This window comes from Homo sapiens, chromosome 10 (assembly GCF_000001405.40).
Source record: "Homo sapiens chromosome 10, GRCh38.p14 Primary Assembly".
Taxonomy (NCBI): domain Eukaryota; kingdom Metazoa; phylum Chordata; class Mammalia; order Primates; family Hominidae; genus Homo; species Homo sapiens.
Genome location: NC_000010.11, coordinates 84518630 through 84530362, shown reverse-complemented (window position 1 = coordinate 84530362; position 11733 = coordinate 84518630). Strand labels below are relative to the sequence as shown.

The 11733-nt window shown below is 42.5% G+C and overlaps 2 annotated features.

The window, feature by feature from the left end:
- Nucleotides 4241–4740: an enhancer, noted in NCBI's record as "H3K27ac hESC enhancer chr10:86285379-86285878 (GRCh37/hg19 assembly coordinates)". NCBI's record gives its function as "activates a minimal SCP1, AML or CMV promoter by ChIP-STARR-seq in primed H9 embryonic stem cells {active_cell/tissue: H9 hESC(primed)}" and the evidence as "EXISTENCE:reporter gene assay evidence [ECO:0000049][PMID:30033119]".
- Nucleotides 4741–5242: an enhancer, noted in NCBI's record as "H3K27ac hESC enhancer chr10:86284877-86285378 (GRCh37/hg19 assembly coordinates)". NCBI's record gives its function as "activates a minimal SCP1, AML or CMV promoter by ChIP-STARR-seq in naive and primed H9 embryonic stem cells {active_cell/tissue: H9 hESC(naive and primed)}" and the evidence as "EXISTENCE:reporter gene assay evidence [ECO:0000049][PMID:30033119]".

Here is an 11733-nt window from a genome sequence, read left to right as displayed (position 1 = left end):
AGTGGCCTGCCACCATCTTGGGAGCTCTGGGAGCAAGGTCCCCCCACAGTAACATTTTGACAACCATGTAAGGACCTCCAAAGCGGTGAGTAACATTGGACCACTTTCACTTGCTATTCTGTACTATCCTTCCTTAGAACTGGAGGAAAATATCAGGCACCCATCAGCCTGTTAAAAACGATTAGCGTGGCCGTGGGACTTAAGACTCAGGTGTGAGGCTGTCTGGGGAAGGGCTTTCTAACAACCCCCAACCCTTCTGGGTTGGGAGTGTTGGTCTGCCTAAAACCAGCTTCCACTTTCAATTTTCCTGGGGAAGCCAAGGGCCGACTAGAGGCAGAAAGCTGTCGTTCTGAACTCCCGGCATTAACCAGTTGAGATCATGGTGCAGCCAGAAGTCTCTATTCAACAGTCGCCCATGTGTGCGCCCCTACCTTTCCTTCTGACCCATACCTCCTGGGTCCCAACCACAACTTTCTTGAAAGTGTAGCCCCAAAATTCTCCTTACCTCTGAATCTACTTCCTCCAATCCCTGCCTCCTAGGTAATAATGGTTCAGACTTTCATTTCCTCTAGCAAGTTGTATTTCCAAAGGGATCTAAGGAAGCTCTACTCTGCATCCATAGGCCCCTAGGCTATGAACCCAGAGAGTCTTGTCCCTGTTGTCCCTCCCAATTTAGGCATACAGCTCTCAACATAGGCAGTTATATGGGACCTGTTCCCCACCACCCTTGCCAGGCCCCCATGTTTGTAAAGGGCTAGGAGAAAAGAGAGAGAGAGAGAGAGAGACAGAGGGGAGAGAGAGAGAGAGACAAGGAGGGAGTCAAAGAGAGAAAGAAAGAGAAAGATAGAAGTAGTAAAGAAAAAAGTGTGCCCTATTCCTTTAAAAGCCAGAGTAAATTTAAAACTTATAATTGATAATTGAAGGTCTTCTCCATGACCCTATAACACTCCAATACTACCTTGTTGTCAGTGAAAACAAGGGCATAGCCTGAAAACACTGAGACCACTGACAACCCGTAGCCTTCCTATCAAAAATCCTTAACCCAGTAACCCGCGGATGACCCAAATGCATTCAGTCTGTAGCAGCAACCGCTTTGCTAACAGAAGAAAGTAGAAAAATAACTTTTAGAGGAAACCTCATTGTGAGCACACCTCACCAGTTCAGAATTATCCTTAGTCAAAAAAGCAAAAAGGTAGCTTACTAACTCAAATCTTAAAGTATGAGGCTATTCTGTTAGAAAAAGGTGACTTAACATTAACCACTGAAAATTCCCTTAACCCAGCAGGTTTCCTAACAGGAGATTTAAATATTAATTACTAATCAAAGGTCTGACCAGACCTAGGAGGAACTCCCTTCAGGACAAGGATAGATGGTTCCTCCCAGGTGATTGAGAAAAAAAAACCACAATGGATATTCAGTAATTGATAGGGAGACTCTTGTGGAAGCAGAGTTAGAAGAATTGCCTAATAATTGGTCTCCTCAAATGTTAGAGCTGTTTGCACTCAGCCAAGTCTTAAAGTACTTACAGAATCAAAAAACTCTATCTCAATCCTGACTCAAAAGGTTACCTACACCCTCTCTGAAACGAATTTGCACAAGAACTGTTGTTTATGGGAATGCATCCTGATGGGGCAACTGGGTTGTTATGAAATACTCAGGAACCCAGCCCTGCTCTAGGACTCATCCCTGAGCACAAAGGCAATGTTGGGCACACTGGTAAAGGACCATTCGAATCCAGCAGCCCAGACCCCTTTCTTTGTGGTCAAGAAATGTGGGAAAAAGGATGCAGGACTGCTACGTCGGTGAGCGTAACTAATCTGATAAGCAGAGGTCCATGGGTGATTATGCACCCTGGAAAGGAATAAGCATTAGGACCATAGAGGACGCTCTAGGACTAATGCTCATCAGGAAATGACTAGGGGTGCTGGCCTCCCAAGGTTGTCTTTTTTTTTCAGATGGGAAACATTCCCCCCAAGACAAAAACTACCCTAAGATGTATTCTGGAGAATTCAGCCTGGTCAGAGTGTATGTACCTTTTTCCCTGTCAGACTTGAAGCAAATTAAAATAGACCCAGGTAAATTCTCAGATAACTCTGATGGCTATATTGATGTTTTATAACGGTTAGGACAATCATCCTTTAATCTGACATGGAGAGATATAATGTTACTGCTAGATCAGACACTAACCCCAAATGAGAGAAGTGCCACCATAACTGCAGCCCGAGAGTTCAGCGATCTCTGGTATCTCAGTCAGATCAATGATAGAACGACAACAGAGGAAAGAGAACAATTCCCCACAGGCCAGCAGGCAGTTCCCAGTGTAGACCCTCATTGGGATGCAGAATTAGAACATGGAGATTGGTGCTGCAGACATTTACTAACTTGCGTGCTAGAAGGACTAAAGAAAACTAAGCAGCAGCCTATAAATTATTCAATGATGTCCACTATAACACAGGGAAAGGAAGAAAATCCTACTGCCTTTCTGGAGAGACTAAGGGAGGCATTGAGGAAGCATACCTCTTTGTCACCTGACTCTATTGAAGGCCAACTAATCTTAAAGGATAAATTTATCACTCAGTCAGCTGCAGACATTAAAAAAAAAACTTCAAAAGTCTACCTTAGGCCTGGAGCAAAACTTAGAAACCCTATTAAACTTGGCAACCTCGGTTTTTTATAATAGAGATCAGGAGGAACAGGTAGAACTGGACAAACGAGATAAGAAAAAGGCCACTGCTTTAGTCATGGCCCTCAGGCAAGCAGACTTTGGAGGCTCTGGAACACAGAAAGTCTGGGCAAATCGAATGCCTAATAGGGCTTGCTTCCAGTATGGTCTACAAGGACACTAAAAAAGATTGTCTGAATAGACATAAGCCGCCCCCTCATCCATGCCCCTTATGTCAAGGGAATCACTGGAAGGCCCACTGCCCCGGGGGACAAAGGTCCTCTGAGTCAGAAGCCACTAACCAGATGATCCAGCAGCAGGACTGAGGGTGCCGGGGGCAAGTGCCAGCCCATGCCATCACCCTCACAGAGCCCCCGGGTATGTTTGACCATTAAGGGCCAGGAGGTTAACTGTCTCCTGGACACTGGCGCGGCCTTCTCAGTCTTTCTCTCCTGTCCTGGACAACTGTCCTCCAGATCTGTCACTATCCGAGGGGTCCTAGGACAGGCAGTCACTAGATACTTCTCCCAGCCACTAAGTTGTGACTGGGGAACTTTACTGTTTTCACATGCCTTTCTAATTATGCCTGAAAGCCCCACTCCTTTGTTAGGGAGAGACATACTAGCAAAAGCAGGGGCCATTATACACTAGAATTAGGAGAAGGAAAAAGGGTAAATATATATATACAGACTCTAAGTATGCTTACCTAGTCCTCCATGCCCACGCAGCAATATGGAGAGAAAGGGAATTCCTAACTTCCAAAGGAACACCTATCACACATCAGGAAGCCATTAGGAGATTATTATTGGCTGTACAGAAACCTAAAGAGGTGGCAGTCTTACACTACCAGGCTCATCGGAAAGGAAAGGGAAATAGAAGGGAACAGCCAAGCAGATATTGAAGCCAAAGGAGCCTCAAGGTGAGACCCTCCGTTAGAAATGCTTATAGAAGGACCACTAGTATGGGGTAATCCCCTCTGGGAAACCAAGCCCCAGTACTCAGCAGAAGAAATAGAATGGGGAACCTCACAAGGACATAGTTTCCTCCCCTTAGGATGGCTAGCCACTGAAAAGGAAAAAATACTTTTGCTTATAGTTAACCAATGGAAATTACTTAAAATCCTTCACCAAACCTTTCACTTAGGCATTGATAGCACCCATCAGAGGGCCAAATCATTATTTACTGGACCAGGCCTTTTCAAAACTATCAAGTAGACAGTCAGGGCCTGTGAAGCATGCCAAAGAAATAATCCCCTGCACTTCAGGCCATACACTTCAATCCCTGTATCTTTAACCTCCTTGTTAAGTTTGTCTCTTCCAGAATGGAAACTGTAAAACTATAAATGGTTCTTCAAATGGAACCCCAGATGCAGTCCATAACTAAGATCTACTGCAGACCCCTGGACTGGCCTTCTAGCCCATGCTCCAATGTTAATGACATCGAAGGCACCCCTCCCAAGGAAATCTCAACTGCACAACTCCTACTATGCCCCAATTCAGCAGGAAGCAGTTAGAGTGGTCGTCGGCCAACCTCCCCAACAGCACTTGGGTTTTCTTGTTGAGAGGGGGTACTGAGAGACAGGACTAGCTGGATTTCCTAGGCCAACTAAGAATCCCTAAGCCTAGCTGGGAAGGTGACTGCATCCACCTTTAAACAAAGGGCTTGCAACTTAATTCACACTTGACCAATCATGTAGTAAAGAGAGCTCACTAAAATGCTGATTAGGCAAAAACAGAAGGTAAAGAAATAGCCAATCATCTATCGCCTCAGAGCACAGCGGGAGGGACAATGATCGGGATATAAACCCAGCATTCGAGCTGGCAACGGCTACCCCATTTGGGTCCCCTCCCTTTGTATGGGAGCTCTGTTTTCACTCTTAAATCTTGCAACTGCACACTGTTTTGGTCCATGTTTGTGTTACAGCTCGAGCTGAGCTTTTGCTCACCATCCACCACTGCTGTTTGCCGCCCTCGCATACCCGCCGCTGACTTCCACCCCTCCGGATCTGGCAGGGTGTCCGCTGTGCTCCCGATCCAGTGAGGCACCCATTGCCACTCCCGATCAGGCTAAAGGCTTGCCATTGTTCCTCCATGGCTAAGTGCCCAGGTTTGTCCTAATCGAGCTGAACCCTAGTCGCTGGGTTCCACAGTTCTCTGCCGTGACCCACGGCTTCTAATAGAGCTATAACACTCACTGCATGGCCCAAGATTCCATTCCTTGGAATCCATGAGGCCAAGAATCCCAGGTCAGAGAACAAGAGGCTTGCCGCTATCTTGGTAGCGGCCTGCCACCATCTTGAGAGCTCTGGGAGCAAGGACCCCCTGGTAACACTCCTAATGTGCATGTGGGTCCTTAGCTTGAGTTACTCCACATTGTTTTGTTCCCCTTACTGTGCACGTGTCAGGGGACAGAATTTTCCATTGCAGGCATGTCTAGACAAATCTCCTGTATAGCCGCTCTTATCTGTGAGGCTGTGGGCATGTCTCAGGCTAGCCCCACTGTGCAAGGTCTCTTATCTGTGCCTGCAGGCTGTTCTTTTGTCTGAAAGAACTCAACCCAGGACCCCCCTTAATTGCCTGCCTGATGGGTTTCTTCCTTCCTCCTCTCTCAATATGTCCAAAGACTTACACATAAACGTTGCTAGCAGTAGTATTCATAATTGCCAAAAATTAGAAACAATGTAAATGTCTACAAACTGGTGAATGAATAGACAAAATAAAGTATGCTCATATAATGGAATATTATTCAACAATAAAAATGATGTGATTCATGCTATGATTTTTGGTGAACTTCAAAATTGTTATGCTAAGTGGAAGAAAGCAGACACAGAGAATACATCTGATATGATTTTATTTATGTGAAAGGTCCAGAAAAAGCAAATAAATAGAGACAAAAAGTAGATGATGCTTGGCTTAATCAAGAGGGGGCAGAGATTAACAGTTGGGGTAATGGAAATATTCTAATATTCTAAATGGCAAAGGTTGCACACTTGGTAAACTTACTAAAAAATCTTTTTTTTTTTTTTTTGAGACAGGGTCTCACTTTGTCACCCAGGCTGGAGTGCAGTGGTGTAATCACAGCTCACTGCAGCCTTGACCTCCTGGGCTCAAGTGATCCTCCCACCTCAGGCTGTCAAGTAGCTGAGACCACAGGTGCATGTCACCCCAGGCTCAGCTAATTTTTTTATTATAAAAAATCTCTTAATTGTATACTTGGAATAAATTATATATGTAAAATGTGCTTCAATAAAGTAATGACTCTTCAAACAAACAAACAAACAAAAAACAGTAAAATGAGACCACACAGCTTTTGAAAACTAACCTACTTGAAAAAAAATGGTTTGGCAAGCACAGTGGCTCATGCTGTAATCTCAGCATTTTGGGAGGCCAAAGTGGGTGGATCACCTGAGGTCAGGAGTACAAAGCCAGCCTGGCCAACATGGTAAAACCCCAGTCTCTACAAAAAAAAAAAAAAAAAAAAAATTAGCCAGGAGTGGTGGCGGGCGCCTGTAATCCCAGCTACTCAGGAGGCTGAGGCAGGAGAATCCCTTGAACCCGGGATGTGGAGGTTGCAGTGAGCCAAGATCGCACCACTGCACTCAAGCCTGGGTGATAGAGTGAGACTCCATCTCAAAAAAATAAAATAAAATAAACATTTAAAAAATGGCTTATCATCTCACCAGTGAGTGTTGAGTGGGGATGGGGATGGGGTGGCTTACAGGGCCTGATGCCTTATGCAAAGATGTGTCTTCAAATGTAATTTATAATGTGTAATGCAAAGGACTGAGGGAAACTGGGCAAAATTCTTTTGACTATTGGGAATACTCAGAAGCGGGAGTGACAGAGCACAGACAACATGGATTAAAAGATGCTAAGAAGAGTGTTCCCATCTTGCCTGCTCTAAGGCAGAAGAGGATAAAGAGCAGCTTCCCCCGCAGCCCAAATCCCTGTGCACAGAGCCTGACCTGGCCAGCACAAGTCTCTGCTCTCCCCTCCAGCCTGGCAGAGAGCCAGACAGTGAATGTACACGGTGCATAAAACACTTGCCTTTGATGTTCTGAGGTTGTCACAGGGCGGGGGGTTGGGAGGGGCTGCGGGGAGGGCAGTATTCAGAAGAAAAGAAAAAAAAATCCCATTTTCTCAGGCAGAGAAAAATGGTCACATAACTTTGCAGTTAAAAGTTATTAGAAAAGTGGTGGTGAAGTGTGGTTACAGAAAATTAAATATTGATAAAAAGAGAAAAGTAGTTGTTGTGGGAAAAATTTTACTTCTTTGTACAAAAGAAGTCAATACCTGCTTGGATTTTAACACAGTTGCTTGCTTTAGGATTCCTTTTCCTGTCCTATTTCTTTCATGCAGTCTTGTGTGTTTGCTCCTTAAGGAAGGAAGCTCTGACCAGGCCTTGTGCTGCTGAGAGCTGGGCAACTGGACTCTAGTAGGCTTTCCCCACTCACCCCAAACCAGAGTAGCACTGGCTTAGCTTTAAGGAAACCATAAGTAAACGTTATAATTAAAGGTTAAGGTCTCCTTCCGTGGCTCGAAACCAGTGAGCAGAATTAGATGGCCTGTTCTTTAGCTCATCCCAGCCTGGGAGGCAGGAGGCAGCAGAGCAGTGGCTGAACAAACCAGAGGAATCCTCAATCCTGTAACTAGTGTGTGGGGCAAAGCCCTGGGATCTGTCTTTTCTGGTTTCCAGCACCACAAGCCATGCTATAAAAATGTGTTCAATGCAATTTGCATTCCGTCACACTACGCACTAAGGTCCAGTTAATATACTAAGAGTTGACATCCCACAGCAAACAGCCCTCATGCAGCAGGACGCTGGAAAGGACTTGTCAGTCTATAAAGATTTTGTTTAGGGCACTCCTATTTGGGATGGTGTAGACGGAACTGATGACTAATAAGAAAATACTACACAAAGAACACAGAGAAGGGTTGACATAAATAAGGACGAATCTCTCCAAGCTTCCATGCTAAGGGAACAAACTATTCAAGTTTGGCAGAAATAGATTTTGTCACTGACAGTGGACGGATCCTGATTCATAAGGTAATGTGTTCCCAACCCCAATTACCAGAACAAAAAAAGGAGTAAAACAATAATGCAGTCTTACTAGTTTTGAGGTTAGGGAGATAGGCCATTTGCTATGTCATTGAATAAGTGACTTAAAATTTTCTGAAACATCATCCCATGATGACAAAGACCACTCATTAAATCTGTGGCAAGGGAGATTAATTATTGGATGCCTATACGCCAGGTGCCTTACAAATGTTGCCTGGGCAACAGAAATGACCCTGTTATTAAACACACAGACATACACATGCAATTTTGATTATAAGAGCATAGTCTCACCATTTTTAAAAAACAGAAAATATATAAAAAGATTAAAAAATGGCCAATAATTCAGCCATTAAGAAGTTATTCTTTTATATAGGTATTTATAAGCATATATGTATTCACATTGTACTACATTCATGGATTCGTAAATTTGCTTTTGTCCTCAGTTGTAATATGAATATTTTGAATAAATATTGTTATACATATTTTGAGTAAATATTCCCCAAGAGCATTAGCTGACTGTGGCATCATCTTGTCATATAAATAATGTAATCATTCTCCTACTGTCAGACTTTTTTTTTCCAATGCTCCACTCTTTTAAACAGTTCTTTGCATGTAAAGGTATGTAAGTAGCACGCCATTCTGTTTTGCATCTCTTTGACTAATAGCAAAAATCATTAATTTGTTCTGTTATATTGGCCCTTTGTACTTTGGTGGTTTGTTCTGTGACTTCAGTAATGCTTCTTGTAATATTCACAAATAGTTCTAAGTCCATGGTCTCCTTTGCTTCCCCCTTGAATTCTTTACGAGCTCTGAAAGGCAGGAAAGCACTGTGTGCTCTGCTTTCCTTCCCTTAGTTGAAATTTTTCTTAGAATGAGAGTAGTCAGACCAAGGACCAGGGTTCTGAGTGCCCAGGTCTGGCCCAAACCCTTTCCCAAACACCTCCTGTGAGCTCTGACTAGTCCTGAATCTTTGAACCTGGTGGAGGCGGCCCCTGGCAGCAGGGAGTTTAGAGCATCTGTGTTTGCATCTCAGCAAAACTCTGGAACACAATTTAAGAAACCATTTGCATTAACAATCCATCACAACTCCTATTACTTTTGTTTTTCATTGCAATTCACATTTGCACTTGACCTACTATAAATGCAAAACCTCAGCTAAAACTTGTGAAAATTTTTTAAATTCCTGATAATTCAGAAGTATTTTGAACTGATACGTGCTTAAAAAGGCCTCAGGTTCGTGGAATGTATCGTTACCACTACAGGTTATGTGATAGTGGCCTAGTTTTTATTTAGCTGTAATTAAAAAGAAATCCTAACACACATGCACATTTGTCAAGGATGAATGGTTTTGGAAGCGAGTTCACCTGTGGTCCCAAACGTCCCCTTCCTGCCCACTGGCTCTCTTACAGTGCTTTGTTTGGGATCCTTCTTGTCATGTTGCAATTTGATCTCTTCAATCGCAGGGTCTCCGTCTCATCCACCTCCTGCCACGAGACAGAAACGAGGGCTGTGCACAAAACAAGCATTTCAACCATGTTTCTTGTGGGGAATAGTTACCTTTCACTTTAGTAGACTGATATTTCAGGTATACTTTTGCTGCAGAAAGCATTTGTTCTGTAATCACTTAAAGTATTACCAAAGGATTATTCATACTCAAAATGGGTGTCTGAATGAATTCATGTGAGGATTAAGGAGTGGGTTGTTTTGAGATCTGGAAAGTAGCAATACCATTTTTCAGGTTGAGAAACCAGAGAAGTGCCTGTGAGGAACTGTTTCTTCCTCTCTGATTTTTGCACAGAAAAGATGCTAATTTGAGGGCTGTGTGCATGGGTGGGTGGGAGAATTCATCAGTGAGGAAAAGGCTTCTCTGGATGACCTAAATTCCTCCTTAGAGACTCCATGGCAAGAAATGGTAGGAAACCAGCAACAACATGAATGAAACTGGAGGTCATTATGTGAAATAAGCCACATACAGGAAGACAAATGTTGCACATTCTCACTCATGTGGAAGATAAAAAAGAAATGATCTAACAGAGGTAGAGAGTAGAATAGTGGTTACCAAAGGCTGGAAAGGGTGGTGGGGAGGTGGGATAAAGAGGGGATGGTTAATGGGTACAAAAATACAGTTAGAATGAATAGGACCTAGTGTTCAGTAGCACAGTACAGTGACCATAGTTAACAATAATTTATTGTATATTTCAAAATAACCAGAAGAGTAGTATTGAAATATTCCTAGCACAAAGAAATAAATGAGGCAATGGATATCCCAATTACACAGATTATAGTGTATGCTTGTATCGAAATAACAGGTATTTAATAAATATGTATAATTATTATATATCCATAAAAATTAAAAATTAAAATAGAAACTGAAAACATCAAGTAGACCATATTATATTTGATCTATCCAAGAGAATGGGATGGAAGGAAAAGCCCGGACATGAATTTGAATGTTAAAGGTAGACTTCAGAAAGCAACATCTTATGGGTTGAGGTTCTAAAAGGGACAGTGGCCTTAGGATAGTCGAGAAGTCTTAAAATCAAATTCCAAGAACCTAAAGTAGAAAGCAGAGTATTTAATAGTGGCTAAAGAGGAAGTTCGTTCTTGGATAAAATAATAAAAGGCCAGGTTTTCTAGGGAAATGAAGGCATGCAACCAAACAAGAATAAACATAATATAGAATCCAAGAGGAGAATAGTGCAAGGGAGTTAAAGCCCAGAATGAAATGAAACTGAAGAGGAAACGTCAAAAGAGACTGGTAGGTTCAAAGGAAGATAATAAACAGGGAATGCAAGGGAAGGGCTCAGTGCTGCAATGGATCGGATGATGTTAAAAATCCCCTAGGGTTCCTAAGCTCCATAAGGCAGAACCTGTATCATCGTTACCTTTGTACACCCTGCAGCCAGCACAGCAAGTGACACAGGTAAGACATCCCATCAAACTTACTTAAACCAAGTTAACAGAGGAAGAAGTCAATTCTTTAACTCATGCTTGTCTTTTCTGTAGGGATAAAATATTTTCACAATGGAAAACGCGCAATCAACAGCATAAATGAAGAAACTGAAATGACTACACTTAATGACAAAATTAAAAGGGAAAATTTTTAGTATAAGAAAGTACTTGCTAATGATAGATGCAGAAGGCCAATAAGGGGGAGGGTCCTCAGAGAATCTCCAACCAGCTTGTGCACTGGGAGAACTGGGTGGAGCCACGGGAAGTTCCAGCCTTGGGCAGGAGGGAAGAGCCTGAGCTCTTCAGCTCACATGTGTGGTGGCCTGGAACTTATCTGTGAGGTGGGGGCCTGTTAGCAGGATTCCCCCCTTGCTTTGCTGAGTTTTTTTTTCCTTTTTGCCCAATGAATTCCATTCCCCACACACTTCAATGTGTCCATGTGTCTACATTTTCCTGGTCCTGACACAAGAACCCCGATTTAGCCGACCTAAGGAGCAAAATTCTGCAACACTAAGAACTCAGATGGCCTTAAAGTTCATACAGGTGTCTTAAGAGGTAATAAGTGCTATTATCAAACTATTAATAAAATTTCCCTCCTTTCCCAGAATTCGTGTAAACATTTTGGATTAATAACATACCACTGCATCAACTTTTTTGTCTCTTATTACGGGACTATCGCATCTGACTAAACTGTAAAACTGAAAAAATATATATTCCTTACTCCTTTTGTTCCTAAAAATTATGTAAAATTTCACTAAACACCTTTCTTGCCTCAAGCTATTTTGTATACTGCTTAAAAACAATGACAAAATAATTAAAATTACAAGTGTTTTCTTCCTTGTACAGCATTCTAAATCCAAGGTGCTAATGTTTCTTGAAATGTCCATTAACCATTATCCCAATATTCTAAGATAAAGCAGGTATTTTATTACAATGGAAACGAAAGTACTAGATCTCTTACAGAATTTGTGAAGACACAACAACAAAATACTGATCAACTCCTACTCAATCAGGGCTTGGGGTGTCAAGATGTGTGTGAAGGCAGCATGTAAAATAAAGTA